The sequence below is a fragment of the Homo sapiens genome, chromosome 2 (genome assembly GCF_000001405.40).
Source record: "Homo sapiens chromosome 2, GRCh38.p14 Primary Assembly".
In the NCBI taxonomy this organism is placed as follows: domain Eukaryota; kingdom Metazoa; phylum Chordata; class Mammalia; order Primates; family Hominidae; genus Homo; species Homo sapiens.
Genome location: NC_000002.12, coordinates 234,678,382 through 234,703,889, shown reverse-complemented (window position 1 = coordinate 234,703,889; position 25,508 = coordinate 234,678,382). Strand labels below are relative to the sequence as shown.

The 25,508-nt window shown below is 43.9% G+C and overlaps 1 long non-coding RNA gene across 1 annotated transcript in view, besides 3 other annotated features; it reads right to left on the bottom strand.

Moving 5' to 3' along the window:
* The window catches only part of LINC01173 (long intergenic non-protein coding RNA 1173), a 35,097-nt gene extending 13,875 nt beyond the window's left edge, over positions 1 to 21,222 (bottom strand). The window contains exons 1-2 of the long non-coding RNA NR_132376.1: positions 21,122 to 21,222; positions 8,142 to 8,241 (exon numbers count right to left, since the gene is read on the bottom strand). This is a non-coding gene — a long non-coding RNA (long intergenic non-protein coding RNA 1173). The remainder of the gene's footprint in view (positions 1 to 8,141; positions 8,242 to 21,121) is intronic.
* Positions 8,353 to 9,552: an enhancer, noted in NCBI's record as "CDK7 strongly-dependent group 2 enhancer chr2:235602982-235604181 (GRCh37/hg19 assembly coordinates)". NCBI's record gives its function as "activates an origin of replication core promoter dependent on BRD2, BRD4, P300/CBP, MED14 and CDK7 cofactors, with strong dependence on CDK7, by STARR-seq in HCT116 cells {active_cell/tissue: HCT116}" and the evidence as "EXISTENCE:reporter gene assay evidence [ECO:0000049][PMID:35650434]".
* Positions 11,371 to 11,665: a silencer, noted in NCBI's record as "tiled region #2610; HepG2 Repressive DNase matched - State 5:Enh". NCBI's record gives its function as "represses a minimal TATA promoter and a strong SV40 promoter by Sharpr-MPRA in HepG2 cells {active_cell/tissue: HepG2}" and the evidence as "EXISTENCE:reporter gene assay evidence [ECO:0000049][PMID:27701403]".
* Positions 15,409 to 16,034: an enhancer, noted in NCBI's record as "H3K27ac hESC enhancer chr2:235596500-235597125 (GRCh37/hg19 assembly coordinates)". NCBI's record gives its function as "activates a minimal SCP1, AML or CMV promoter by ChIP-STARR-seq in primed H9 embryonic stem cells {active_cell/tissue: H9 hESC(primed)}" and the evidence as "EXISTENCE:reporter gene assay evidence [ECO:0000049][PMID:30033119]".
* Positions 21,223 to 25,508: the final 4,286 nt, after the last annotated feature.

The following is a 25,508-nucleotide window of genomic DNA, read 5'->3' as shown; positions in this document are numbered from 1 at the left end:
AGAAGCAGTTTTTCAGCTAGATGCTGACAGTCTGGAGTCCCTTGCTCCTTGTAAAGGCAAAACGAGCTACTACTAGAGCATCTTGAGTAAAAAGAATGAAGCGCCAGAAAAATAATAAGAAAGTTAAAAGATAATTCACATTCTGCTGCCCGTGTTCCTTTTGAATTAAGTTTATTTTAGGAACAGGCTTATCAAATTTGCCTGGAAGACACTACTGTCAGTTTCCATGATATTTTATGAGCTGCCATTATTCTTCCTCTACTGAGAACGCCCTCCCTGAATGTGTCTGCCTTTGTGGAGTGAAGCAAACACAACTGTTTATGCATCATGGTCCCAGCATGAAATTCAGCTCCTCCTTTATCTCTCTCACGTCCATCCCCCTCCCACCACCCAAGCTGAGGTCAGTTAGGATGTCCATTCATGAGTGGAGAAGACTTTTCTGGAAGGGTCTTGCATGGCAGTGGTGCAGAAGCTGAATAGAGACAGCTTGGTGCTGTCAGGCGCCTGGAGAGCTCGTTCCTTGAAGTCATCTTCCCTGTCTAGTCCCAGCCCCTTGCCTGCCTCCCCTCCCTCTCCCCACTTCCCCTGGTCTTCCCTGCTCTTCCTCCTTTCTCTCCCTCACTCTCAGGTGGGGCAGCTTTCCCTCCTCTGAAGCAGGGTGCCTGCCCACGTGCAGCCCTCAGGGGACACAGCTGCCCCCACCCACCCACCTAGAGAGGATCCTGAACAAACACCAGCGTCTGTCTCAAAGGACTTTCCACCCCAGGTCTCAGGATAATAAACATTCCACCACCTCTTTGCACATACCACCCACCCTGCAAGTTCACGTCTGTCCTTCCTTCTCTTCTGCCTCGGGGCTTTGGCTCCCTCCCAGACACGCCTGGCTTCACCCATTCATTCCTCCATCATCTGTTTACTAAGCACCATGTGCTAAGCACTGGCCCTGTCCTTGTGCAAAGGGGCAAGTCGGAAACCCCTGCAGTAACCTCACGAACAGTGGGGACATCGCCGCATGCCCCAGGTCTGGTCTTCAATGAAAGCTTCCTCCAGGAGAGCCCTAGAGCACTGGGCCCTTTCCCACAGCCGGGCTGTGCCAAGGGCAACTCTGACCCCCGGGGTAGGTGGGCGACTGTGGCATGAGTGTGACTGAGGAGATGTGCTGAGTGTTCGAGGGGTGTGAACATGTGTGAGTGTGAGTGTGCCAGGGGGCCAGGGGCTGTGAGTGCACCTGAGTGAGAAGGTGGGAGGGTGTGTGTGTATGAGGATGTGTGGCTCCAAGGGGCTTGATCTTTGGAATCATCTGCACCTGGATTCCATCCTGATTTGGCCACTTTTGGGGCTGTGAGCTTGGTGTCTCAGGCTTCAGTTTCTCCTCCGAGAGGTGAGGTGGCGGAGCATCTGTATTAGTCTGTTTTCATGCTGCTGATAAAGACATACGCGAGACTGGATAATTTATAGAGAAAACGCGGTTTAATGGACCACAGTTCCACATGGCTGGGGAGGCCTCAATCACAGTGGAAGGTGAAAGACATGTCTTACATGGCAGCAGACAAGAGAGAGAATGAGAGCCAAGCAAAAGGTGTTTCCCCTTATAAAACCGTCAGATCTCATGAGACTTATTCACTACCATGAAAGCAGTATGGGGGAAACTGCCCCCATGATTCAATCACCTCCCACCGGGTCCCTCCCACAGCACATGGGGATTGTGGGAGCTAGGATTCAAGATGAGATTTGGGTAGGGACACAGCCAAACCATATCAGTATCCCTCCTGTGGGAGTGGCAGCGAGGAAACCTCTGCAGGACCCTTGCCAGCGTACCCAGGACCCCAGGCCAGCGTTCCCAGGGCCTGTTCTGAGCTCCCTTGAGGGTGAAGCACCTTCTCCCTGTAAACGCCAGCTTTGCTCCAACTGCTAGAACAGGCTTCCTGCTCCTCCAGCCAGACCCACCCCGGCCACGTCTCTGACCCCCGTCCCCCGACCCCATGGCTCTGATTCTCACCTCCTTCATCCTACCCCTAAAGTTGTCAAATCTCCCATAGAGCTGTCCATCCACAGTTCTGGCTCTTCTATTCCTCAGGCCCACTCACCCCAGGCTCCTGGGCAGGTTTGGCCAATGGTAGGCCCCAGAGGAAGATTAGGGATGAGCGGGAGGAGGGGGTGCTGGTCCGCATCACCTCTCTGCTCACTGCTGGGTCTCTGGCAGCAGCTCCCAAAGGCAGCCCACCACACTCCATCTCCAGCCCCAGCTTTCCGGCCCCAAACATCACCACTGCCCAGCCTCTCTCCAGCAAGGTGGCTGTGACTGTCAGACATGCCAGCCCCGGGTTACTCAGCTTGCCCTGCTGGCTCCTCACCTCCTCTGCCAGCTGTGCAGTAAGAGCCCCGCGTTGCATTCTCTCTATTTGAAATCCCTGCAGAGGTTTTGCTTTTGTTAATGTGGCTTTAACAGACACATCTAGTTTGGGTTTCTTTGTTTTGTTTGTTTTTTGTTTTTTGTGTTTTTTTGTTTGTTTGTTTGTTTCTTTTTATTTTGAGACAGAGTCCTACTCTGTCACCCAGGCTGGAGTGCAGTGGTGCGATCGCAACACACTGCAACCTCTGCCTCCTGGGTTCAAGCGATTCTCGTGCCTCAGCCTCCCCAGTAGCTAGGATTACAGGCACACACCACCACACCTGGCTAATTTTTGTATTTTTAGTAGACAGGGGGTTTCACCATGTTGGCCAGGATGGTCTCGAACTCCTGACCTCAGGTGATCCACCTGCCTCAGCCTCCCAAAGTGCTGGGATTACAGGCGTGAGCCACCGCACCTGGCTGGCACATCTAGTCTTTAAAAGGAACCCTCAAATCTGTCCTTTGGCGCTGCCTCACCCTCTGTCTGCACTCTGTCTCACCCTTTCCCTCACAACACCTCTTGAGAGCATCACCACCACTCCCTTGTCCATCAGGGTTCTCTTCCAAAGTGGAGGGGATGCTGTGCCCAGCTCTGCTCTTCCTCTCTTCCGCAGATCACCTCACTGGCTCTCGGAATGGCTGAGGCATTTTACGCATGACCCCCAGGAGGAGAGAAGCAGCACTATCAGAACGTGACAGACTTTCCAGAATTTTATGAAATTCTTCTAGTCGCTGGTATAGTTTGACTTTTTCTAGCGTTGAAACCTAACCCCCAGGTGATGGTATTAGGAGGTGGGGCCTCTGGGAGGTGATTATGTCATGGGACTGGAGCCCTCACAAATGGGATTAGTGCCCTTCTCAAAGAGGCCCCTAAGAGATCCCTCAGCACTTCCACCCCATGAGGACACAGTGAGAAGGTGCTGTCTCAGAACCAGAAAATGGGCCCTTGCCAGACATGGAACCTGCTGGTGCCCTAATCTTGGTCTTCCCAGCCTCCAGAGCTATCCAAAATATATTTCTGTTGTTTATCGGCTACCCAGTTTATGATATTTTTCTATAGCAGTCCAAAAGAACTAAGACACCATGTATGGTAATGATAATAAAAATCACTGTCATCGTGTAACACATTTTCTGCACATAGTGTATATTAGACATCACTCCACTACATGTGTGACAGTTAACATTTATCCTATGATATGTATGTATCCTATGATACAGGAACCAGTCTTTTATCCTCATCCCTTTAAATGAGGAAACCAGGGCCAAAAGGATTCAAAAGTCAGAGAACCCACTGTATGCCTATCCTGACTTCAGTTTTCCTCCTCAGCTTAACTCCTCAACAAAGTCACGCTTACCTGGTGTCCCATGACATATTTGCTAACCTACAGGTGGGAACTGAGGCATAGTGAGTGAGTGGGTGCCAGAGAATGCCTTGAATAGTCAATTAGCATAGGGCTTGGGGCCTGGGAGTGCACCAGGTGGGGCATTTCTTACCCAGGCTTATGGCATGTGGAGTTGGTGAGAATTACTTTTAATCACCTAAAACAATACAAATTGTGTACCAAGGTAAATGCTGCAACCAGGTCATCAAGCCAAGGGGGAATCTTCTGGGGTAGATGGCATAGCTGGACACTGAAGGAGCAGACAGCTTTGGGAGCAGCCGGCGACTGGGTCCAGAGGGCCTGTGGTCATTCTCAGCTGCTGTATGGGTGTCCTCTGTGCTCTGTCCCATGGTGGCCTGCCCAGACATTCCATGTATTGTGCACTCTGCTACCCAGGCCTGAGCAGGCAGGGCCAGTGCCACAGATGATGGGAATGGGCTTGAAGTTTCAAAGTCTTGGGGAGCTGGTCGGGAGTGTGGTGCTGGGCTTGGGTGCTTGGGTATGGGGGCTGGGGCTCCCAGACAGTTGCCTGCCTTACCTGTGCCTGGGCCTTCTGGAATGCACCATACCCTTCCGTGAGCCTCATGATCCAGGCCACAGCCATGCCTCTGATCTGCTCTCCCACCACCTCCCCTCACTCACTTTGCTGCAGTCTCACTGGCCTATGATTTGTTCCTATTTCAGGTGTGCTTCTCTTTGCATTTGCTGTTCCTCTTCCTGGAGCCTTTGTGGCTCACTCCCTCACTTCCTCCAGGTTTCTGCTGAACTGCCCTATTATCCGAGGGGACTTATCTGAATAGGCTAGAACGCCCACCCCCATCCCATGGCTCCTATCCCCTTTACCCAGCTTTACTTTTCCTCAGAGCCCCTACCACATTCCAACAGATTCTCTGTAATGTCCTTCTTCCCCCAACCCCAAAAGAATGAGGACTTCTTAAGGGCAGGTGTCTTAGTCCATCTGGGCTGCTATGACAAAATACCACACTCTAGGTGTTTATAAACAACAGAAAATTAGTCCTCACGGTTCTGGAGGATGGAGGTTCTGGCAGATTCTGTATCTGGTGAGAACCTGCTTCCTGGTTTACAGATGATGCCTTCTGGCTGTGTTCTCATATGGCAGACAGGGTGAGGTGGCTCCCTAGGGTCTCTTTTATAAAGATGCTAATTCCAGTCATGAGGGATCCACCTTTATGACCTCCTCACCTCCCAAAGGCCCCACTTTCTAATACCATCATTTTATCATATACATTTAGGAGTGGGGGTAGACAAATATTTCGATCATAGCAGCAGGGATTTATGTCTTCCCGCCGGTATATTATTAAGGCCTGGAATGTAGTAAGTGCCCTAAAAATGAGTGGTGCTAGCAGAAATACAAAAAGACAAATGATCAAGACTATTTATTGCAACCCTATTTATAATAATGGAAGATTACAAATGACAAATTTTCATGGATGGATGACTGGTTGAATAACAGTGGTGCTTCCATGTAATGGAGCATTAGGGTGTAAAAGGAAGGAAGAGGATCAGAGGCCACAGTGCAGTCATATTAGGCAATGAGAACAAAGAGAACAATATGTTTACATACAATATGCTTCCATATATCTCAGAAAGGTAATAGGAATGATATGGCTTGGCTGTGTCCCCACCCAAATCTCATCATGAACTGTAGTTCCCATAATCTCCATGTGTCATAGGAGGGACCTAGTAGGAGTTAATTGAATCATGGGGGCAGTTACCACCATACCGTTCTTGTGATAGTGAGTTATTACAGGATCTGATGGTTTTATAAGGGGCTTTTCCTCTGCTTCATGCTGCACTTCTCTCTTGCCTGCCTCCAGGTAAGACATGGCTTTACTCCTCCTTTGCCTTCTGCCATGATTGTGATGCCTCCCTAGCCATGTGGAACTGTGAGTCCATTAAACCTCTTTTCCTTTACACATTATAAATTATCCAGTCTTGGGTATTTCTTCATAGCAGTATGAAAATGGACTGATGCAGTAAATTGGTACTGGTAGAGTGAAGTACTGCTATTAAGATTTCTGAAAATGTGGAAGCGACTTTGGAACTGGGTAACAAGCAGAGGTTGCAACAGTTTGGAGGGTTCAGAAGAAGACAGGAAGATGTGGGAAAGTTTGGAATTTCCTAGAGACTTGTTGAATGGCTTTGACCAAAATGCTGATAGTGATATGGACAATAAAACCCAGGCTGAAGTGATCTCAGATGGAGATGAGGAACTTGTTGGGAACTAGAGCAAAGGTCACTGTTGCTATGCAAGGAGACTGATGGCATTTTGCCCTGCCCTAGAGATCTGTGGAACTTTGAACCTAAGGGAGATAATTTAGGGTATCTGGTGGAAGAAATTTCTAAGCAGCAAAGCATTCAAGAGGAAGCAGAGCATAAGAGTTTGAAAAATTTGCAGCCTGATGATGCACTAGGAGAGAAAAACTCATTTTCTGGGGAGAAATTCAAGCTGGCAGCAGAAGTTTGCATAAGTGGTGAGGAGCCAAATGCTAATCACCAAGACAATGGGGAAAATGTCTCCAGGGCATGTCAGATACCTTTGCAGCAGCCCCTTCCATCACAGGCCTGGAGGCCTAGGAGGAAAAAATGGTTTCCTGGGCTGTGTCCAGGGCCTCCCTGCTGTGTGAAGCCTCAGGACTTGATGTCCTGCATCCTAGCCACTCCAGCTGTGGCTTCAGAGGGTACAAGCCCCAAATCTTGGGAGCTTCTATGTGGTGTTGAGTCTTTAGGGTCACAGAGGTCAAGAACAGAGGTTTGGGAACCTCCACTTAGATTTCAGAGGGTGTTTGGAAACACCTAGCTGTCCAGGCAGAAGTTTCCTGCAAAGGCAAGGCCCTCATGGAGAACCTCTGCTGGGGCAGTGCAGAAGGGAAATGTGGGGTTGGAGCCCCCACAAAGAGTTCCCACTGGGGTACTGCCTAGTGGAGCTGTGAGAAGAGGGCCACTGTCCTCCACACCCCAGAATGGTAGATCCACTGACAGATTGCACCATGCGCCTGGAAAAGCCACAGACATTCAATGCTTGCCGGTGAAAGCAGCCAGGAGAGGGGCTGTACCCTGTAAAGGCACAGGGGCAGAGCTGCCAAAGGCTATGGGAGCCTACCTCTTGCATCAGTGTGCCCTGGATGTGAGACATGGAGTCAAAGGAGATCATTTTGGAACTGTAAGGTTTAATGACTGCACTATTGGATTTTGGACTTGCATAGGGCTTGCAGACTCTTTGTTTTGGCCAATTTTTCCCATTTGGAATGGGTGTATTTACCCAATGCCTGTACCCCCATTGTATCTAGGAAGTAACTAAATTGCTTTTGATTTTACAGGTTCATAGGTTGAAGGGACTTGCTTTGTCTCAGATGAGACTTTCGACTTGGACTTTTGAGTTAATGCTGGAGTGAGTTAAGACTTTGGAGGACTATTGGAAGGGCATGATTATGTTTTGAATTGTAAGAACATAAGATCTGGGAGGGGCCAGGGGCAGAATGATATTGTTTGGCTGTGTTTCCACTCAAATCTCATCTTGTTGTGGAAGGGACCTGGTGGGAGGTAATTGAATCATGGGAGTTGTTACCTCCAAACTGTTCTTGTGGTAGTGAGTGAGTTCTCACAAGATCTCATGGTTTTATAAGGGGCCTTCCCCCATTTCATGCTGCACTTCTCTCTTGACGGCCGTCATGTAACACGTGTCTTTGCTTCTTCTTCACCTTCCGCCATGATTGTGAGGCTTCCCCAGCCAGGTGGAACTGAGTCTGTTAAACCTGTTTTCCTTTATAAATGACCCAGTCTTTGGTATTTCTTTATAGCAGTAGGAAAATGAGCTAATACAAGGAATATGTGTATGTGTGTGTGCACATGTGCATGTGTAAAAACAGTGCTGGTATAAATCTTAAAAAAACGCTATCTCAGAGGAAAGGGATAGCAGGTAGAGAAGCTAAATTCTTTGAATATATCTCGTTTTGGAATTTGACTAGAGGAAAGGGATAGCAGGTAGAGAAGCTAAAATTCTTTGAATATGTCTTGTTTTTGGAATTTGACTTGGGACATGTACATATTTTTACATAGTTGCAAAACAAAACCACCATTAAAACCATTCATAAAAATAGAAGGCAAAATAGAACAAATTTCATGATGTATGCATTTGATGTCGTACCACACAAAGAGAAACTATTTCAAGTGGTTTCCAAATATGGTAATTACAGTATACATTCCAAGTGGGATATAATGTCAGGACCAAAAAAAAAAACAACAACCAAACAAACAAACAAAAAAAAGCCAAACCAACCTCCCAAACCCCCAAGCCCTTCCCACCAAAAACCTGCTAAAGATCTTAAACAGTTTTCAGCAATTACCTTTTTGGTGATAGTGTTGGCATTCTTATTTGGAGGCTATTTGTGTGTGAGTAGAAAGCAAATCAGTAATGATGCTGGTGTCATTGAGAACCAGAATTTTCTGTGTGGGAGAAAAAAGAATAGAAGTAAGATTAATCAATTTTAGTAAAAAGCCTATATCCAGAATCTGGATCGGAAGCTAGCAGTATGAATTAGGAAGTGTTTTATCTTAATTTTTAGAAATTCCCTAGCCCTTTTTTTTTCTTTTGAGACAGAGTCTCGCTCTGTTGCCCAGGCTGAAGGGCAGTAGTGTGATCTCAGCTCACTGCAATCTCTGCCTCCCAGGTTCAAGTGATTATCCTGCCTCAGCCTCCCAAGTAGCTGGGATTATAGGCATGCACCACCACGTCCAGCTAATTTTTTGTATTTTTAGTAGAGACAGGGTTTCACCACGTTGGCAAGTCTGGTCTCAAACTCCTGACCTCAGGTGATCTGCCTGTCTCAGCCTCCCAAAGTGCTGGGATTACAGGCGTGAGCCAACACGCCCAGTCAGAAATTTCCTAGCTTTATAAAAGGCCTAGTAACAATGAATCACTATTAATTAGCACCCTTTGAACCCAGATTGTGGTCTCTACATATCATTTCCCACAAAAAGGAACCAGGGCTCTTGAGAAGAGTTAATACAGATTCTGCAGTCAAGGAAAATGCAGGATGTGTCTAGAATTTGTCATAATATCAAAGAAACCTGTTGGAGATTATTATAGGCACATTCAAAGAACCGAGGAGGAGAACAGGCAAAGCTAAGCTATCGCAAGAGAAAGTAAACTCATAATTGCTTGGGGCCCAGATTTGGAGAAGGGTAAGTGATTGCAAAAGGATATAAGACAAAAGCCTACTGTTTTTCTTCTTGGGTGAACCTGAACCTGAAATTAAGGTTGATGTGTTTTGGAGAGCTTTGTGATAAGGTCGGCAGGTGACCACCAGAGACTTCCTGGAAAGGTCAGCTGGGGCAGATCCCAGGCACAGGAAGCCAAGATGGAAACTGCCCTTTCTAGCTGTTGCCTCTACTCTGCCCTCCTCCCAGATGATCTGTGGTTGTTTTCATTTTTCTGAGCTTCTGACTCATATTGTGAATGGCCCACTTGACCTCTGCATTGGATGTCTCATAGGCATTCAGTGTTTCCAAATCTCAAGCTGATTTCTTGACCTCTCACCTGCAGCCTACGCATTAACATTACTTTAGGCTTTTCCATCTCTGGGAAACTACCACCTTCTGCTCAGTGGCTCAAGTCAGAACATGGAATCTCCTTGACTTTTCCCTCCTCTACTGCTCCCAACCCCCAACCCATCAGCAAGATCTGTCTGCTGTAACTTTGAAGGAGGTCTTAAATTGCCCTCTTGCCTCCTGGTTCACCAGGACTGCTCTGTGCAAACTGCTGCATATCTCCTTCACATTGTCAATGAAAAGAGTCAAACTCTGTAAAATATTTGAAGAGATTTATTCTGAGCCAAATATGAGTGACCATGGTCTCTGACACAGCCCTCAGGAGGTCCTGAGAACATGTGCCCAAGGTGGTCAGGGCACAGCTTGGTTTTATACATTTTAGGGAGGCATGAGACATCAATCAAATACATTAAAGAAATACGTTGGTTTGATCCAGAAAGGCAGAACAACTCAAAGCAGGGGCTTCCAGACTATAGGTGAATTTAAACATTTTCTGGTTGACAATTGGTTGAGTTTATCTAAAGACCTGGGATCACAGAAAGGAAATGTTCGGGTTAAGATAAAAGATTGTGAAGACCAAGGTTCTTTTGAAGTCTTATGGTGGCTGCCCTTTAGAGATAACAGATGACAAATGTTTCCTATTCAGATCTTTAGAAGGTGCTAGACTTTTAGTTAATCTCTTTAGGATTGGGAGGGTCTTGAAGAAAAAGAACTAGCTAGGTTAATAGAGATTCTTTATAGATGCAAATTTTCCCCCACAAAGGACAGCTTTGCAGGGCCATTTCAAGATATGGCAAAGAAACATGTTTTGGGGTAAAATATTTTGATTTTCTTCCTTGTCTCATAATGTTATGCCAGAGTCAGGTTGGAAAGTAAGTCATCCTATATAGGGTTAAATTAAACCCATCTGATGAGAATTTATGATTTGTAGAACATGACTCCCCAGACCCTTGAGATAGAAATTCGGACAAGATAAAAAAAAATCAGATGATAGTCCTCAGGATCACCACAATGTCTTTCAGACTCACTCCTCTGAGATCCACCTTCCATACAGCAGCCAGAGGGACGTTATTCAACCAACCAGATCTTATCACTCCAGACAGTGGCTTCCCCTTGCACTTCCTGATTAAAATCCTGAATGTGGCCGGGTGCAATGGCTCATGCCTGTAATCCCAGCGCTTTTATGAGGCCAAGGTGTGTGGATCATAAGGTCAGGAGTTCAAGACCAGCCTGGCCAAGATGGTGAAACCCCATCTCTACTAAAAATACAAAAATTGGGCCGGGCATGGTGGCTTATGTCTGTAATCCTAGCACTTTGGGAGGCCGAGGTGGGCAGATCACAAGTTCAGGAGATCGAGACCATCCTGGTTAACACGGTGAAACCCCATCTGTACTAAAAATACAAAAAATTAGCCGGGTGTGGTGGCACATGCCTGCAGTCCCAGCTATTCGGGAGGCTGAGGCAGGAGAATCACTTGAACCTGGGAGGTGGAGGTTGCAGTGAGTCAAGATCTCACCACTGCACTCCACCCTGGGTGACAGAGTGAGACTCCGTCTCAAATAAATAAATAAATAAATAAATAAAAATAAAATCCTGAATGTGCCTTGCCAGGCCCTGCAGATGTCCCATCCCCCTGGAGTTATCTTATGCCACTCTCTTCTCTTTTGTTTTCTTGAAAATGCCTACCTCTTCATTTGCCAAAAGGCCTTTGTTCCTAGTCCTGCACTTGGAATGCTTCCAATCTCTGCTGCAGCCCTGGCCCCAGCATAGCCCTGCTTTCCAACTCCATTGACCCCCCAGGACCCAGTGTGGATGCCAGGTCCTCAGCAATGCCTTCTCTCCTCTCTCCAACCCCCAGTATTAGTCAGGGCTCCCTGCTTCCTTGGACATCACCCTAAGCACCCTTCTTACCTAGTTCTCTCTTCTGCCTGTAATTATATTAGGTTGACACAAAAGTAATTGCATTAAAAGTAATGGAGAAACTACAATTACTTTTGCATCAACCTAATACATTTACTTACAGGTTTATTTGTTAATGCTTGTCACCCCATGAAACTGTGGGTCCATGGGGGCAGGAGCCTATTGGTTTTGTTACCTACCACTCCATCCCTCACTGAGGAGCTAGGTAAATATTTGTTAAGTGAATGAATCGATTCATTCACACTGCTGATATCACATCAGCCCTTTTGTTAGAAGCCTTTAAAAACCTCCAGTCTCCTATAAGGCTCTATCTTCCTTATTCCAAATTGCTTCATACTTTGCTTTATTTTTTTTGGAGACCGAGTCTTGCTCTGTCACCCAGGCTGGAGTGCAGTGGTATGATCTAGGCTGATTGCAACCTCTGCCTCCTGGGTTCAAGCGAACCTCCTGCCTCAACCTCCCAAGTACCTGGGACTACTGGTGTGTGCCACCATTCCTGGCTAATTTTTGTGTTTTTAGTAGAGACAGGGCTTTGCCATGTGGGCCAGGCTGGTCTCAAACTTCTGGCCTCAAGTGATCCTCCCACGTGGGTCTCCCAACATGCTGGGATTACAGGCGTGAGCCGCTGTGCCTGGCCCATACTTGCTTTCAGTTTATTTTTTGTATCGTATACTTTCACTCCACACCCTATTGCCAGTTTCACCTCAGTGTAGCCACATTTCTCTTGGCCTCTGGAGCTCTATTTTCCATACTAAAACCTTTATCATCCTTTAAAGTTCAGCTCCAACTTCACTTTTTTGGTGCGGTCTTTCCTTCTAGAAGTCTGTAACATTTGCTTGTAACACTCGAGCTCATGTTTCTTTCTGCCTCATAGTAAATCAGGTGCTTTAATACCTCCCTTTACCACTAAATTGAAAGAATAAAAATCTCTTAGTTGTTATGATATTCGTCTAAGTTTGTAGCTCATAGGAGTTGCCAGGGAAAGATATGTTTGTCAAATTAATAAAAGCTTTCTTTAGTTAAAATACCATCCTCTGCAGTTACAAGGTTCCATCTCCTGGATCTTTTAAAGCATTTGTATTTGTCAGTATAAAGCATTCACAAAAGGATTCACTTTAAACCTTGCTGTGGACTGATCCCGCTGGGGATTTTCTATTAATCATTTAGTATTGGGTATCTGGTGACGACGGTCGTAGGGAAAAGCAATGGGAGCAGAGAAGCAAAATCCCGCCCCAGGCACATGATGGTCTTTGCACAGCCTGGTCTTTGAGTTATCGTCTTTGTAAATGGATATGGTGGCACAATTTCAGTGCCAAGAAGATAGACTGTTTTCATTTATTTTACATTATACGTTAGGACCTAAATATAAATATTCCAGCTATTCATCTCAGCATGATTTGGTTGTGGAAACATAATCGGAATTGTCTAAGAGACGCAGGCGGTGTCTATTTTGGTCCTGGCACAGGAAACTCAGCCTTTGTCCATTTTTACAGTTTGATTTATGGGAGGTTAAAAATTCATAATGCAGCAGCTAACCTCCAGCAAATATTGTTTTTTGCATGAGCCAATTCAAACGCTCCCTCATCTCAGGTTTCCTGTTCAAACGGTCTAGAAATGTGGAGTTTAGCTGCTACACACCAGCTTAAACTACTGAAAATCAGCCAGCCTTTGCCCTGTGGGGATCGGGAGGGGCTCAGCCCAGAAGACAAAGAGAGGGGCTAGGGAGCCATCCATCCACCTCTCAGGCACACTTTCTGTGTCAGCTGCCTGATGCTTGTTATTTTACTTAATCTTCCAGTAATCTCATGACATAGACCCCATTAGCTTTACTTCTCAGAAGCAGGAACTGAGACAGGTTAAGCAACCTGCCTGAGCTTGCAGCACTGGTGAATGGCCAAATGGCTTGGCCTGACTGTCAGGCTGTATGTGGGGCTTCCTGCTGCAGACAGCAAGCTGCAGCATGGTGGGATGTCTGCAGCTTACTGCTGGCTGTCCTGCTGCCTAGAGGCAGCGATGCAGAGAATTCATATAGTGGAAGTTGCGGGGGGGGGTTCATTTTCTTCTGGGCAACAACACAGAGCTGCCCTGTGCTTTGTGAAGTGTGGACACATAAGAGCATCCTATAGTCAAAGCGTGAGCTACACATCTAACTGTGCCAGGGGACAGGTAAACCCCCCTTTCCCTGCAGACACTGCTATGGATGCCTCACTCTCCCTTCTACCTCCCCAGGCTCTCAAAGGCCCTATGGACGGCTCTGGCCCACAGAAGCTTCTGATTGTTTGAAAGGAGCATCAGGGCCTAAAGGCTGCTCCGTGGGTGCTACTGCAGGGTGCGGCTGTTCCAGGACTCAGGGCTTGTCAGGATCCCGCGTGTGTGAGTGCAGGCCCCAGAGACTCCACACTAATTGCACCTGCTCAAAACTCTCTCCTAACTAACTGGACCACAGAGGCCGTGAGATAAAGAGACCCTGCCCTGGGCCAAGAGAAACACTGATGTAAACAGACAGGGAGACCAGGATGGAGGAAGCACGAAGGTGGCAGAAGGACACCCATGAGGTCTGCTTGGCAGTGCTGGGCTAAGTCAGGAGATGCAAGTGTTGCGCTGGCAATGCCATGGCCTGGGGATTTGAGGAAGCCTCTCCAGGCTCCTTATCAGGACGTAGATTTCATGGCTGACCTAGAGCTACCTGAGCAGGCCGGATTCATACTCCATCACTTTCCATTAAAATATCCCAAAAACAGGCCGGGCATGGTGGCTCATGCCTGTATTCCCAGCACTTTAAGAGGCTGAGGTGGGAGGATCACCTGAGGTCAGGAATTCGAGACCAGCCTGGCCAATATGGTGAAACCCATCTCTTCCGAAAAATACAAAAATTAGCTGGGGATGGTGGTGGCCACCTGTAATCCCACCTGTAATACTTGGGAGGCTGAGGCAGGAGAATCGCTTGAACACAGGAGGCAGAGGCTGTAGTGAGCAGGAGCTGAAATCATGCCATTGCACTCCAGCCTGGGCGACAAGAGTGAAACTCCGTCTCAAAAAAAAAAAAAAAAAAAAAATCCGGAAAATAAAAACATCTAACAGCTTGGAAAATTAGGACCTAGAGTTTCTAGGCCAATGTTGGACCTAGAGTTTAGGATGACTATTTGTATATTTTAGCAGAGCTTGGGTTTAATTGAGGAACACAGGGAATTCCCCCAAGTCCGCTGCATGAGATCAGCATAGCAGGTCCCAGAGAAGGTAGGAAAAGACTTTGACCCCCTGGGTGATCTTTGTTTGAGTCCACATTAATCAGAAAACAGAGCGGACACCCTCTCACTGCACAAGGTCACTGCACAAGGACTATCTCTGAAGCTATCAGCGGTGTTCCTACTTTCATCTACCTTTATTCCTCCTCTATATCTTTGAGCTCTAGTTCTCGACATGGTGGTGGGTGGGGGAAGGTCACTTGGCCACCTGCACGTGGACAGGGTAGTTCAAGGGAGGTTGTAATTCATGAAAACTTCTCTGGGTAGAACAAACATTTAATCCACAGGGGGAAGAACACTCACCATATACTAGGCAAGACCAACACACTACATGGGATTTTTTTAAAGGAAAAAGATAAAAATTCACATATATTTAGACAAAAGAGAAAAGAGGGCAGATTATTTAAAAACAAACAAAAATTAATCTGACATCAGACATTTCTGCAAAAGCCAGGGGATGATGTCCCCAAATTCACACACTTCTAAGAGGTAAAAATTGAGTCAAAGTTAGGTACAAAGACTATCATACCCAGCCACACTTTTACAACACAGGGTCATCCTTGGTTACATTGGGGATTAGAAAATGACCATTCACATTCTCTTTTATAATTAGTTAAGAGATATTCTAGCCAACATAAAAGCAATCAATATAAAGAATTAATTACCAAAAAAAGAGCACCTTACTTAGTCACCCCTTTAGTTAATAAACATTTATTGAATGGTTGCAAGGTGCCAAGGCATTGTGCTAGTAAGCAAAATTTTGAACAAAACCAGAAAGGTCCATGCCCTTGTGAAGCCCACAGTCCAAGGGACAAGAGGGAAATAAACAGGCAAACACCTACCAGGAGACAGGTAACATAGTGGCATGGTGCATGGTGGGATGGTGACAGGGTGAGATGGTGGTGTGGTAACTTGATAACATAGTTCAGTATGACAGGGTGCATCATGACACAGTGGTACAGTAAGTAACATCTCACCATATCATGGTGAGATGGTGGCATGGTGATGTGGCATGGTGATATGGTGATGTGACATGATGGCATTGTGGCAAGATGTGATATGGTGGCATGGTGATATGGTGTCATGGTGATGTTGTGACATGGTGACATGGTGGTATCGTGGCATGGTGGCATAATGATGTGGTGATATGGTGGCATGATGGTGTGTGACGTGATATGGCATGATGATGTGGTGGCATGGTAACATGGTGGCATGATGATGTGGTGGCATGGTGGTGTGGTGAGGTGGTGACATGGGGACATTGCAGCATGGTGGCATGATGTCATGGTGGTATGGTGGCATGGTGGTGAGTTGATGTGTGGCATAGTGACATGGTGGAATGATGGCACGATGGTGTGGTAGCATGGTGACATGATGGCATGGGTGGCATGGTGGCGTGGTGACATGGTGGTGTGGTAATGGGGTAGCATGGTGGTATAGGGGCATAGTGGCATGGTGGCTTTAGGGCATGGTGGCTTGGTAACATGGTAGGTACGGTGATTCTAAAGAACCAAGCCCAGTTCAGGGTGGCCTGAACACAGGGTAGGTGAGAACTGAAATGGATCGAACACAGAGACCACACAGCACCACAGCCCATGAGGCCTAGGCAGAGGCTGTGTGGTCTTGATCACTAAGGCTCTGCCACTTCTTAGCTCAGCATCTGGCTCATAGTATAGGTCCTCAATAAATATTTATTGGATGAATAAATGAGTTACATTAAAATGGCCTAAAAAGAGAAAAAAAATCTCAAATAATTTTTACTTTATTAAAAATAGCAATGATAATATACGTCGATCTAGGTCTATAATGTGAAAGTAAATTAACAAAGACTAGGAAATAATCAAGTGCATAGGAAGAGATAAAGTGTAATAAATTTTAAGTCTTATGTAAAAAGGAGTCAAAATAATTGCTTTATTCTGGACTTAGATAATTAGAGAACACATTTAAATAGATATTTTAAAAATTAAAAGTATTCATTGGTATAATTTTTAAAAATACCATCGTACAAATAACATGAATATAAAAGAAAGCTACAGTAAAGTATACAATGGAAAGCCTAACAAAGCAAGATGAGAGGCATAAGGGTCAAGCATTTTCGTTATGATGATAAATGTTGGCAGTTTAAATTCCGCTATATCAAAGCAAAGTCTTATAATAGGAAGCAAAAATAGGATATGATACAAGAAATAAATATTAAGGAGAGCTCTTTTACAATTTAAAATAAAAGACTGGGGAAAGATAGACAGGAAAGTTCACATGACAGAGGAAACGATTATTTCAATATGAAGAAAATGTAGGCATCAACTCAAGGAGCCTTAAAGTGGCAATAAAAGTCATGTTGTGTTATGAAAGGTATTAGCAGTAAAAATGGTCCTTAGCCTTCATATGCTGAGAAACACAGTACTGGCACTGTATATTCACATTTTAAAAGTCAAGAAGAAATGATCAAAATACAACTATTAGGGAGAGTTTATCAGTACCACTACTCTATGGTAGATCAGGAAACAATGAAAAGAGAATTAGTTGCGTGTGGCTGCCATAACAAATTGCCACAAATGTGATGGTTTAAAATGACACATATTGACTGTCTCACAATTGTGCAGGTCAGAAGGCTGTAATCAGTTTCACTGGGCTGAAATGGAGATGTCAGTAGGGCCTCACCGTCTCCAGAGGCTCTGGGGAGGACCTGTTTTCCTGCCCTTTCTTGTCTTTTCTAGCTTGGAGCTGCATTCCTTACATTCCCTGGCTCCTGGCCCCTCCCTCCACCTTCAAAGCCAGCAGCATAGCATCCAGCTTCAGTGGTCACAAGGCCTTCTTCTTCTCTATCAAATCTCTCTCTGCCTCCCTCTTGTAAGAATACTTGTGATTTGCATTTAGGGCATACCTGGATAATCCAGGTGAGAAAAGAAAAATAGCTGAGAGCAGTCTGAACGATGTGGGCAGAACTTACCAGGCTCAGAGATACTTGAGCACAGGGCTTCAGTCTCACCCTGCCCTTCCACACCTATGCTGGGGGCAATTGTTTAAAAGCATTTCAGACCAGATGTCTCACCCTTATATCCTGTTCCTGGAATTAGTGATACAAAAGACAATGTATAGCCATTCAATAGACTATGTTATTTTAATGTAAATTGTTGGTGAACAGCTTAGGAACTGCCTCTCCTTCTTTTCTTTAAAATCCGACTTGTAACTGCTGTTAATTAGAATGTAGATTCAGGGCAATTAGGATCTATGCTCCTGGGTTGCAGTCCTCAAATTTGGCCCAAATAAACTCTCTACTTTTATTAATTTTGCCTCAGTTTTTTTTTCCTTTAAGTTGATTCAGGATAATCTTCCCATCTCAATACTGTTAATCACATCTGCAAAGTCTTGTCTTATAAAGTAATATCCAAAGGTTTGAGGGATTAGGACCTGTATATCTTAAGGGGCCACTGTTCAGCCTATCACAATGATAATGTAAGACTTAGAAAAGATAAAGATAAAGCTCGTACTAATAGGACTACTAATTTTTGAATGTCCATGGAACATTTACAAAAGTTGCATATATTTGCCTCTATAAAATCCTCAGAGCAAAACTTGTTATTCGTGAACATAATTTTCTAAAATTCAAGATTTATAATAAACATTTAGAAAGAATAACCCAATTAGTTAAGATATAACAAATAAAATAAAAGCCCTCTCAGATAACTAATAGGATATCAAATATTATTTCAGTATATTTAGAAAATTATTAAAAAGGAAGACACTATGTAACTAAGGCTTTCCAAGGTATTGGGAGAGGCCAATTATTAACCCTAAATGCTTTCATTTCCAAATGAAGAAGAAAAAAAATATATGTTATCCTTCAACGTAGGGAATTAGAAAGAACATAATATAGATGAAATCAGAAATTAATGACTTTTAAGATGATGGGATTAATAAGTGAAACAAAAAATGATTTATTTGCAAAGACAATAAATACCTCTGCCCAGTGTAGTCAAGGAATAGGGAAACTGTAGAAAAATAAACTTAGTGAAGGTCTTCGTTTCTCATTCCTATCAACACATTACAATGTTACTTTGGAGGCTCTGGACAGAAGACAAAAACAAGTAATATACATTTGATATGAAGAAGATAGAAGTATTACTATTTGCAGCCAGTATGATTGTATATAAACACCCCAGATTGTCAATCAAAATAACATATGGATTGTGGATAGAATTCAGTGGCTGATTCTGAAAGTAATATATAAAAAATCAGGTCTTTATAATGTCTATAACCACTTGGAAAACATACAAATAATTATAGATACTATTATTACACACCAAAAAATAAGTAATACCAATATTTACATAACATGTCTTGGATGATAAGACTATTTTGTATGATTAAATTTCCCAACTTACATAATTAAAATAATTCCAAACAAAGTCTCTATACTATTTTTGGGAAAACTTGTTAAAATAAATCCAAAGTTCATGTGGAAGAAAAAAGTGTTGAGAATAAATTTTAAATGTTTTGAAAGAAAGTATTATGAGGGGAAATGACTTTTCCAAATATTAAAAATGCCATAAAGCTGTGTTGATTTTTAGTTCATATAGCCCTATTATTAGAGAAGGAGTTTGAATATGTGATGAAGTTGGCAAAGGCAAATAGTATGAGAAGTCATGGATTATTTAATGGAAAATGCAGACACTGCTAGTTAGAGGGAAATGTGTTGGCTAATGAAACGTGTGGTGAAGCAACTTCCTAGAATATGTTAACTGGGTATGCAGGGGGGTTATTAAAGTCCTGATAAGTCACAAGTTCACAAAGAATATATACTCCTTGATCCATAGAAGAGGTGGCCTGTAGATGTTCCAAGAGAAACCACTGTAGCCTATTTTCTAAAATAATTGAACACACCCACCATACCATAGAGACTCAGCCACAGAGAGAACCAACACCACATACCCATCCTGTTTTCTCAATCCCAAACAGAAGACCAAGAATCACCAGGCAGAGGAGGAGACCTAAACTCTGTGCAAGAAAAATAAAATCTTAAGACCCCAAAGTCACTATGCCAGAGGCAAAAATTCAGCCTGTGAACTGATTCACAAAAAACAAAACAAAACAAAATACATATAACAGAAACAAACAAACAAACAAAACCTGCCTTTCTTTGTTCCCAGAGAGCTGTAATTTCACATGCTAACTTTATCTTATGTAAAATGTAGATTTACTGAGCTCGAGAGGAATGCATTATTGACTTTTCCCCCTACTCCTCTCTTTTTATGTAAAATGTCGATGCAGTGAGCACTAATCAGAGCCTCACAAGAATGTAACTGCTTGCCTCATTGCCTGCCCTCCTTTTTTTTTTTTCTTTCCTCCTTTCACTCCTGTCTGCTCTTTTGCCTTTAAATATTGATGTTCATGAAACTCTCTTCGGATAAAGAACAGGCCACAGATCCTACTGTAACTTCTGTTTTTTTTTCCTGGGTGCATCCTCAACTTTGGCAAAATAAACTTCTAAATTGATTGACATTTGTCTCAGATACCTTTTGATTTCTAGCTCAAACAAGAAAGACCTGAACAAAGAAACAGAAAAAAATATAAACAGAAAAAATATGGTAATTTAGGATACAGAAAATATCTAAGAATAATATTCCAATTAATAGAGAGATGTAAAATTTTTAGTACATAAACCAAGAACAAAATATTCTGAAAAAGAAAGAAATGGAAAAGAACAACTATTTGAGATTTAAAAATAAAGGTGGAGTCAGGAAAATTTTTCCCAAACATAAAAAGATGAAAAAAATGAGAGATATGATGAGACATAAGTGTGACAGAAAAAGAAAACAGAGAAAACAGTGGAATCATCAGATAAAAAACAGAAATGATTGAAATTGATGAAGATAAAACTTCACACAAAAAGAACCTGCTCCCCAATGAATTATAAATGACCCATCCCTAAGTGAATCTTACAGCCTCTGTGATCATGTTTCCCTTTGAATTGAATTCTAGAAAGTATAGAAGTTGTTTCAACCTTATGTCTAGAAAGGTGCTCAGGGACTGAACATTTTCATACTGCGCTTAATTATCTATTTTCAGCTTGTTACCACCACCACTGCACCTCCACCACCATCACATCACTGCTACCGGTACCATCATCACCATAACCACCACCATCACATCACTGCTACCGGTACCATCATCACCATAACCACCACCATCACCACCATAACCACCACCATCACCATCACCATCACATCACTACCATTACCACCACCATTCACCTTCACCACCAGCATAATCACCACTACCACCATCACCACCAAAACCACCACTGTCACTACCACCATCACCACCCACCACCACCACCACCATAACCACCATTATCACCCACCACCACCACCACCATCACCACCAACAGCATCACCACCATCACCACCATAACCACCACTGTCACTACCACTGTCACCATCATCACCATCATTACCACCACTGTTACCACCATCATCACCGCTACTACCCATCACCATCACACCATCACCCTCACCTTTACCACCATCACTATAGGCATCTAAGGCTGGGAACTACATTTCCCAGAATCCCATTCCTTGTGCAGATTTGCTTTAGAGTTTCTACTTACATAAGATGAGGAAAGTGGAATTGACAGTTGCCAGGTCTGAGCCTAGGCCTTAGGAAGCATCATGCATTTCCATTTGCCAGCCTGTGGTCTGCCTTCACTATGAAAAGAACATGCCCCAACTGGCCTCTCTGGTCCCAGGAGGGCAAGAGACTCGTGGAGCAGAGCCAGCAGGGTCTGCAGTGAGAGAGGCCCCCAGCTGACTCACAGGCTTATGAGTGCAAAGGGAATGCTGCAGTTGTCAGCCACGGAGATTTTGTCATTGTCCATTATGCAGCACTTTTGCAGTACTAGTTGAATAATACAGGTGCACTGACCTCATCTTACTTTTCCTATCCTCGTTTTCCATTGTTCCCACGGTTTTCTTCTCTTACTTTTAAAAATTCTACTTTAATACATATATAGTAGTGAGAAGCCTCAAACACTTTTCAGAATAGGTGAAGCACAAATAAGAATGCCCATAAAATATTTTGGAGAATGCTACTTTATCCCTTTTGAATTCCATGCATGTTTCCTATGATTTGTAAATGGTATCATGTGATGGTTCTTAATATTAGTTTGGAATGTAGCTGTTAAGGAGAAATCTAGGATAAAGAAGTCACATGAGAATAATGTCCAATCACTTCTGCCATGGAGGGAGGAAGAATTTTGAAGCCAAATGGAATATTATGAGCAGGTGATGTATATTAAAATAATGCAAATGAGCTAACGGCTGAGTTGAGAGTAATCATTGGCACATAGATTTGTCTCATTCTTCTTTTTTCTTTGAAGAATCCTGTGCTTGTATCTTTTTTACATCAAGGATTTTCTTCTGCCTTATTCTTCTCCAACTCCTTTATTGTTTTAAGATTCATTGCAGTTATAAATTCTGAAAGAAGAAATCTCAAAGTCACAACATAATTAAATCTTAAGCAGAATTATGTGATAAATTATTACAATTATCTTCATTTTATAGGCCAAAGTGCTAGTATGCTTCAGAATGCTTTTTATGTATTGTCCCTCATTCTCCAAATTTAACTTTTTATAGCTTTCTAAAAATGGGATTGTAACATCTCTAATGTTCAGTGATCTGAGAACACAGCGTCAATTGATAACGATAAAAGAAGAAAATCAATCACCACCAATACAAAATCCTAAGGGAATCAACCAAAGTGGAAAACTATATATTTTGAGCAGAGGCTTAAAAGAAGGGAAAATTATGGCTTTGTTAGCTCTTCTCTCCATTCTGCAAGCATAAAGCAGGTCTGCGTAATTTATTTTTGAGGCTACTCTGTAAGCCTATGCTGAGACGCGGTGAGTGCTTGCTGTGAAATGGTTCATTAATTCTCCTCCTGTTTTGCTGCATTGAAGCAGATGATGATGATTAACCTAGCAACATGGGGAAATAGACAAATCACTCTGAACCCCTGGGATGGGGAAACATTGCTCATTGTGTGTGGACAATCAGATTTTTCTTCCTATGTCATAAACGTAGTGTTGTTCTTTCTCTTCATTTATCTAAGTTCTGTGCTGCAGTGGTGCAGTTCAACATGAGGATGTTTGTGTCCTACTCTGAGCTCCTTTGTGATAATATTTTTTAACACAGAGGGTCCCAACTTACCATGGTTTGACTTGTGATTTTTCAACTTTGCAATGCTACCCATACAACCATTCTGTTTTTGACTTTTAGTACAGAAGTCAATAAATTACATGAGATATTCAACACTTTATTATAAGATAGGCTTTGTGTGAGATGATTTTGCCCAACTGTTGGCTAAGGCATGTTTAAACTAGGCTAGGCTAAGCTATAATGTTGGGTAGGCGAGGCGTATTGAGTGCATTTTCAACTTATGATATTCTCAACTTACAATGGGTTTATTAGGACATAACCCCGTTGTAAAAGGAGGAGGATCTGTACATGCACCCGGGAGGGTTTTTTACCCTGTCTTGAGGGCAGGCTGGTTTTGAGGACTGATTGAGGGAGGGGCAGATTCCATATTCGGAGGGTGAGGGGTGCACTAATGTGGAGAGTTAGATGATGGTCTCTGAGACAATGTTGAGTGGAGAGTAGAAGGTGCTAGCAACCTGCCCACTAAATCTTCTGTGCAAGCCTTGGGAGAAGCAATGGCTTTATGCACAGGTGTCAACCTACTCAGCTCAGTTACTGGAGACAGCGCTAAGCCCAGGCTGTACAGAGCAGGATCTGGGGTCTTTCAGCTTCAATTCTGCCAATGAATGTGGGACACATCTGGCTGGTCTGATATTCAGGATTGTGTCCAAAGGGCGAGGGTGCCTGCACTGAGGGACAGATGTGAGAGGGGACAGTCCCTGCTTCAGTCACATGGAGATATTCAACCAATTTTCTGTAATGGTATAGAAGAGAGGAAAGGAAAGTCGCTGGTGGCCGGTGACCCTGGGGTTGAGAAATTGTGCAGCAGGTCAATGACCACAGCAATGCAGCCAAGGCCTGGGCTGGCCAGAGGACAGAACGACTTTCCTGGTTTTCTGTCGGCCCTGTGAACTTGGCTGGGGCATGGGTGAGTCATGGTGAGTGAGCTCTGGAATTCTTTGATCCATCAGGGAAAGGAAGTGGGATTCTTGCAAAAGCAAGAAAAATGATCTTGCGGGATACGAAAAAAGCTTAAACCATGTGATGATTTAAAATGAGGAATAAAGGAGATTTGACCTCATGTTTAAGCCAGGCTGAGGGAATGAGTTGTGTCTGCTACAGAGACCATATTTTTATGAAGTGCAGCAAAGCCTTCCAGCTCCTTGTGCTTTTCTAATACATAGGAGTTCTAGGAATGTACTATAAAACACTCAAGTAACAGAAAGGTTGTGTCAGAAGAACAGTATTTGTTTAACATCCTCATACGTGCAGAACAGGAGTCACGTTCAAAGGAAGACTGAAGGCAAAGAAAGTCAGAGTATGAAACAGCATGTTCACCGGAAACAGAATTTTATTTCTGAGAGGGAGCTTGGCTGGGGTTTGCCGGCAGGCAGAGTGACGGCAGTGAGAGACTGAGTTAGTTGGCGATGGCTGCCTAACAAGTGATCACAAACTCAGCAGCTGAAAACAACAAAACAGCCCATCCTCATCATTTACAGATTCCGTATTTGTGAATTCTCCCACTGCTGAAATCGATTAGTAACCCCAAAATTGATACCCGAGGTGCTTTCATGCTCACTGGTGGATGTGCACAGAGCTTTGAAACATTTGAGTCACCCAAGGCACACATCCCACTGAGTTGAGCAAAGCAACGCTCTGCCTTCTTGCTCCAGCTCGCACGTTGTAAACAATTGTCCTTTTCACAGTCTATTTAGTGCCATGGTTTGTCACCAATTTGTGTTTTTGATAGTGATTTCACTGTTTAAGATGGTCCCAAGCACAGCACAGAAGAGCCGTCTGGTGTTCCCAAGCATGAGAAGGCTGTGATGTGCTTCCTGGAGGAAATCCGTGTGTTAGAGAAGCTTCACACAGGCATGAGTTGTGGCGTTGTTGGCCACGAGTTGTTCAATGTAACGAATCAACAATATATATTAAATCAGGTGCCTGTCAATAGAAACACACATAAAACAAGGTTACGTGTTGATTGGGTGACCAAAAAATGTTGTGACCAGAGACTCATAGGAACCTAACCCTGCATTCCCCATAGCAGCAATGGTATTTGCTAATTCGGTGTTCATGGTGACTTCACAGAACATAACTATGGTGTATAATGAGAATCAACTGTGCATTTATCCTCTTGCGACTTCTGTGGGTCAGCAGACTGGGCATGGCTTAGTTGGGACCTCAGGTTCTTACAAGGTTGTGGTCAGATATCAGCCAAGCTGCATGCCTCTTCCAAGCTCGTGTGGTTGTTGGCAGAATTCAGTCCCTTGTGGCTCTACACTGAGTCCTCTTTTCTAGCTGGCTGTAGCTGCAGCTGTTCTCAGCACCTAAAGGCTGTCTGCAGTTCCTTGCCATGTGGTGTTCTTGCAGGATGGCAGCTTATGTCTTCAAGTAATCTCACTCCAGTCAGCTGTGAGAGCATCTCCTACAGCAGCAACCAGGGACTGATTTCATGGAAGACAATATTTCCATGGACCAGGGGTGGGGTGGGGGGCAGTCTCAGGATTATTCAAGCACATTACATTAATTGTGCATGTTCTATTATTATTACATTGTAATATATAATGAAATAATTCTGCAACTCACCATAATGCAGAATCAGTGGGAGCCTTAAGCTTGTTTTCCTACAACTAGATAGTCCCATCTAGGGGTGATGGGAGACAGTGACAGATCATCAGGCATTAGATTCTCATAAGGAGCACACAACCTAGATCCCTCACATGCGCAGTTCCCAATGGGTTTTGTGCTCCTGTGAGAATCTAATGCTGCTGCTAATCTGACAGGTGGTGGAGCTCAGGT